General features: G+C 41.5%; 1 long non-coding RNA gene across 2 annotated transcripts in view; it reads left to right on the top strand.

Annotated features, from left to right (window-relative positions):
- Positions 1-4,651: 4,651 nt before the first annotated feature.
- The window catches only part of LOC101928392 (uncharacterized), a 30,379-nt gene continuing 28,787 nt past the window's right edge, over positions 4,652-6,243 (top strand). For both annotated transcript variants that reach the window (NR_188569.1, NR_188568.1), the window contains exons 1-2: positions 4,652-4,952; positions 5,070-5,311. This is a non-coding gene — a long non-coding RNA (uncharacterized LOC101928392). The remainder of the gene's footprint in view (positions 4,953-5,069; positions 5,312-6,243) is intronic.

Genomic DNA, 6,243 nt, shown 5'->3' with positions numbered 1-6,243 from the left:
TGCCTTGCCCCTAGTTACCAACTCATAAGTGGCAGAACTGGAATCTAAGCCAACTTCAGATGCCAAAGTCCATGCTTGCAAACTCTGTGCTATACCTCCCCAAAGATATCTTTTCCGTAACGTGAGAAGAAAACATCACCTCCTTAACCACTAGCAGGAATGGAAGGTGAAGTGAATTCAGTGTTGTTACATCTGTGCTTCAGAAGTTAGGAAAGGCAAGGATACTTAAACCCTGCTGTAATCTGTCTTCCTCCACTAGCCAGCTCCTCAACTTGTTTTGACAAAAGTTGTGGGTTAGGAAGTAGATGGCTATGTCAGAGGTTAAACAGCCTCCAGATTATGAAAATCTGACTGTGGCCCGAGAGTTTTAACCTTAACACCAACCTAAAGGTGTGGAACCAATCAGGGTTTTGAGGTTGCTAGTCACAGAAGCCAAGTCAGGCCATGCTTAGAAAATCAAGGGGGTTTAGTTGGAGGAAACTGGTAACTCACTGAGCTAAAGGGGACTTGAGAGAAGTACAGAAACCAGGACCACACCGTCACCATAATGGCCAATCCCTTTGGACACAGCCTTTGTCCTGTGACCGGCCTAGCTTGGACCCTGTGCCCACTCCTGTAGTGGGTGGGAGTAAAGGGTGGACAGTGTGTGCATTCTGCTGTCTACAAGAGCTTCATAAAATGGTAGAAATTTCCTGAAATAAATATAGGGGCTTTTTTCCAGAAAAGAAAAGGAAGAAGGCTAAATGTTAGACAAGCGAAATCAATTAAGGTCCAAGGCAGATACCTTCAAGTGGCCCAATTACTCTGGAAGGCATAAAGTTAGGAGTTGTTCATCATTTGATCCATCTCTATCTTGAAAATCTAGCACAGAACATGGCACATAGTAAATGCTCAATAAATGATGAAAATACACATTAATCAACCAACAAACCAACAAACTCAATGACAAGCAAGTGGCACCAATGAAAGAAACAGACTTCCTAGGTGATCGACTTTCTAGAGATATCACCAATGTGAACTTACAATCCTCCCACCTCTAAAATAGTCTATTTTGGAGCTCCTACTACACCTAATTTCTGGACCTTCCTGAAGCACTGCTCGGGCTAATATCGCTAATCACGTTCCCATGAAGTATTTAGATGAAGATACAGAGACCACTCATCTTGGTACTCTCATTGTTCACAGTGCATTGCAATTCTCTAGTTCAGTTCCCTTCCTAGGGATGACAAATACATGGTGTGTGTGCCCCCATCCTCCCCACTCTCCATATCCAGGACAGACCTTGTTAATGGATCATGACATTCATCCTACTGAGCCCAAACAGCCAGGAACAATCCATCAGGCTGGGCACACAAGGTAAAACCAACTTATTATGCCTGACTCAAGACATCTGGAATCACTACTTCAGCACACAGCCAAATGATGACCCAGCTCATGCCTGACCACCTTCGTAGATGGGAAATATGATCTCATGGAGACAGCATATTCCATTTTAAGAACTCTGTTAGAGTTTTTTCCTTTACGGACACTTCTGGGTGAACATAGAGACAACACACCTGGGCCTGCTGTGACTGCCTCTTCCCAAATTTTTATGAAATAATCCTGAAGATACAAACAACAGACTGCAGCTGGCCCTTGCAGAAAAAAAAAATGACAAAAATCCTGGGGAAATTTTTACTAACTGCACTGATGAAAGGCATGGATGGAAAGGCACAATTTTTGAAATACACACCATATGTACTACCCTTTCATTCATAACAGCATAAATGCCCTCCAACACACACAAAGGTAGGCAACACACCAGCCCCTCAGTCTGTTAAATTTTACTTCATGCCCTTATTCCTGCACTTCTCAGGAAAGAAATGGAAGCCAACCTCCAGGAACACCCTTCTGAGATACCCAGAACTAGGGTCAGGGCGGTCCCTTTCTCCTTCCCCATCAATTGCTCTTCCTTATCTCCATTCATTTTAAGAAAATAACACTGGCATGTGCTGTGATGATAATTAGGTTTCATTTTAAGATACTTCACTACCTGAGGAAAGGTCCTTTTGGTAGCAATGTGGTTTCTCATGCCCACATTGTACAATGAAAAACTGCAAAGAGTCTGAGAAACCAAGTTGAAGGAAGAAGCTTCCTCCTCACTGCAGGAGGGCTGTAGTAGAGCTACCTGCCTGCTGAGCATGAAAAGTGTGTTTGTGTATGGACACATCACTAAGATCTCATTGGAGACGAAGAAGTCAACACCTGTAGGGTGTTCTTCCCAGTCCCTTGAGAAGACATCCCTTACCCTCTAAGGAAAGACCAGTACGATCACACCAATACAATACCCAGAGCAAAGGGGTCACTAACAAAATAACGTGTTGAGCAAATGAATAAGAGAATGACCAAATGAATGAATGACAAAATGAACACACTTAAAAGGATAACGGGCATAGGGACAAAGAAAAACACACCTTTCAAAATTGTATTCTTTAAGAAATGAGCAGAGCATGGGTTTTGCAGAGCCAGGTCAGGGAGCTGCAGTGAAGGACAGGTGGAAAGGATGAGAAAGATACAATGCTGAGTTCACTACTGAAGCTCAATGGGAATCCAGATATTCAATAGCATAATTAAGGTTCTCCTTGGAGGCAGGGAAGAACAGAGCGGAAAATGTGAAAATTCAATTAGTATGTGTCTGTGAGAATGGAGGAGCTCCTAGAGGGACGAAGAAGCTGGGCCTGTTCCTGGGGGTGCCCTACCTCCCATCACTCAGATGTCTACGTGCAAATGTCACTTCCTTGGAGATGCCTTCCCTGACTATGTGAAATAGAGCCTCTCTTTTGCTCCCTGTTTACTTAATACGCTGTGCTTTGCTTCACATTTATTTGCACATATTTGTTGTCTGTCTCCCTGACTGGAAGTTCCACAGGGGCAAGGTCCTTATCTGCCCATGGGTGAATTAGCACCTAGAATGCTGGGGATGTAGGAGGCACTTAATGAGTATTTGTTACATGGATGCATGAATAAAGAAGGAAAGAAAAATTTGTTATAACCAAATATGGTTTACTCTTTCAGAGCAAGGGTGGATTAACCATAGGAAATCAACGATACAATGCATCATGTCAGTAGATATACTTGTAATTATCTTGTAGTCTTGTAAACTTGTGAAAGGGCAAATAGGACCATACTACTTTCTTATACAAATCCCATCAATGCTTACCATTGCTTCTAGAATAAAGATCCAAATCATAGCATAGCCTACATGGCCCCCTGTGGTCTGGCCCCTGCCTCCCCTGAACCTTATGTTCCAAGATGTGTTCTCCTTCAACAGGAGCCTTTCCCTCTACACTCAATGCGTCTCATTCTCTCTCACCTCATGTTTACAAGTGTGGTCCTTGTGACTTGGAAACTCCTCCTCTTCTGCCAAGTCACCTCTATTCTACCTGGGTCTGAGCTGAATATTCAGTTTCAAAGGAAAGTTCCCCTGGTCTCCCTGAATAGAAAAAAAAGTTCTCCTAGTAAAGGTTCTTTGAACACCATGGACCTTTCTGTCCTGGCACATATCACATTTTTAATTTTATATTTATTTGGGTGGTTATTTGATCAATATATCTCTCCTGCAGTCTGTGGGCTCTCAGAGAGTAATGGCCAATCTTTTGATGTTTGGTACTATAGACTATCTTGGACCATAGGAGATGTTAAATATTTTCTGAAAGAAGAAAAACTGCTCCAGCTTTCTTGGCTTCTCCTAAAATAACAAGACTTAAAGCCTCATCCATGTATGGTTTGCTAAGGCAAAGAGGTGAGGACATTCATATTTCATGATACAGCCGTATTACAGGATTGAACAACAGTGACATTACTATCTTCCAATATGGTGCCATTAGACTACATTGTCTCCAATTTTATTCTTATGTACTTACATTCCTGGACTCCAGGGTAAAATGTTATGCTTATACTTACCAAACTTCCTCTTCTTAAACTAAGCACAATATTTTATCCTTTTTATAATCTTTGTGAATCTGGTTTTGCCGAATTACATGTTTCCTATCATTCTTAGATTTATGTCACCCACAATTAGTTTCTTCTAAATTATTGATGAGCGTTGTAGAATTACAGTGATGATTATGAGGATATCTATCATTTCCTGAGTTGTTACTAAAAAGCACTGGATCCACGCAGTTCATTCACACATTGGATCCTGTCACCTTTGTAACAACACTGTGAGGTGGACATTCCATCTCAGTCTCTAGAGATGGTAAATCTGTGGATCTGCTCATCAGTTAACTTCTCCAAGATCTCATAGCTCATAAGTGGAAGGAAAAGGATTTAAATTCAGATGTTTATGCCCCCTTAGCCTCTTTACATTCCTCTAGTGATTTTCAAATTTTTCTCACCCATGAAGTCCATTGTTTCAGCTAAATCTTACATAAAAGCATGCAAACCAGTTAAAATCAGAATGGATCTCTTCCTAACACAGCTTCAGAATCACTAAAGCACATCAGGCTGATTTTCACCAAAGAAAACCTTAAGCCAGAAGCCTGGATAAACTCCTTAAAAGCCTCTGTTAGAGTCATAATATAGTAGTCACTTGCTCTAGAACATTCTAGAATGTTCTGAAATATTTTCGAATGCTTGAGAAAACTCTGTACTTATGGAAATGTCCCATGTTGCACTATCCAATATGATAGTCACTAGGCACATGGGCTGTTGAACAATAGAAATATGGCTAATGTAATTGAGAAACTGAAAATGTAATTTACATGTACATTTAAGATGAAATAGCCAGACATGGCTACTATTATAATGGACAACACATTTTTACAAATTATGAGTTGACTTTATTATACCAGCCTCTATCTCATACTTCCTTATTATCTTCAAAACACAATCGATCAGGAACAAAAACGTAATCTCAAGCTTCTAGAAATTTGGCACACTCACCAAAGAACTGAATACTCCTTTGCAGTCAGGTGGGGGCCATGCAACTACATAGGGCCAAAGAACTCGGAGTGGAAGTGACATGTGGATCTCTCAGGCTGAGGTAATGAAGACTTAGTGTGCCTTAACACCCTTCTCCTCTCTTGCAGACCATGTGTTCCAGACAACATAACTAGAAAGATGTGAGAAGGCACTTCATGTGGGAGATAAGCCTTGTTTTACTTAATCCACTGAGATGTCAGAGTTAATTGTTACAGCAGCAGCCTGTTGTATAGGCTGACTAACACATGGTAACTAACAGAACACTTTGGATTCTTGACAAAATAAGAGCAAGAAAGCAGCAGCAGAAGCAGAAATCAGAGGGGCGAGAAACCAAAAGCAACAGAGCAAGGTGAGCCATAAATAAATTCCACTAACAGTAGCACTGACTTTTTTGCCTTACCCTGGTGGAGGAAAGAGGCATTTTTACAATAAGCATCCTCCAGGTTCATGGTGGCAGGTGGTTAGGAATGGTAATCTCTGTTCTGTTATCACACAGCTTGCTTGTAAAGAAAAGTTGTCCACACTAAGCACCATTTTGCTTCTTTCCTTGGGAAACAGCCTTAATCCAATTATGTTACATGAGTGGAGATTATAAAACCTGCATTAGCAATGATTCTTCTGGCAGCCTGGTGTCCTGGGATCTGTCACTTGGAAATTGTTTAATGGGACATATGTGGACCTTTGGTATTGGGGGCAATGCGGGAAATAGACATTTATGGCCACAGCTTGTCAGACAGGACTCTTTTTTTGCTGGAGGCAATTTCTGATGGTGATGATGATTCTGCTAAGCCCCATCAGTTCTCTCTCTTCCCCAGCCTGAAAAGTCAGTGCCCAGTTTGTCACCGTTAGTTAAGATCCACTGAATTTTTTGCTAAAAATGTGCATTCATTCAATACATATTTACAGAATATCTTTTCTCCTAGATTTGCATGGTATTCAGAGATTTCTCTGTGGGAACTTCTTGGGTCAGAACATAATCCGCATATCCACTGTTATCTCCCAGACCCTCAATAGTGCAGGAAATCATGAATTGTAATTCTCAATGTCATTGAGAGTTGCAAGCCTTGTGAGAGTTGCAGAGCCTTCAGGACAGCATACTACCATGTAGTGTTGGGTGCCAGCTCTAGGCCACGTAGCCCAGCTGTGAATTCTGGCTGTGTGACCTGCCAGTGCTGTGACTGTTGGTAAGTGAGTTATTTTCTCTGTGGCTCAGGGTAGTGAATACTGAAGGTGCTGCCTAAACCTCCTTGAATAATCCCCTTAATCAGTTGGGTGTGTCCA

The sequence above is a fragment of the Homo sapiens genome, chromosome 16 (assembly GCF_000001405.40).
Source record: "Homo sapiens chromosome 16, GRCh38.p14 Primary Assembly".
NCBI lineage: Eukaryota > Metazoa > Chordata > Mammalia > Primates > Hominidae > Homo > Homo sapiens.
The sequence above is the reverse complement of the archived record's forward strand: the minus strand, read 5'-3'. Positions and strand labels throughout refer to the sequence as shown.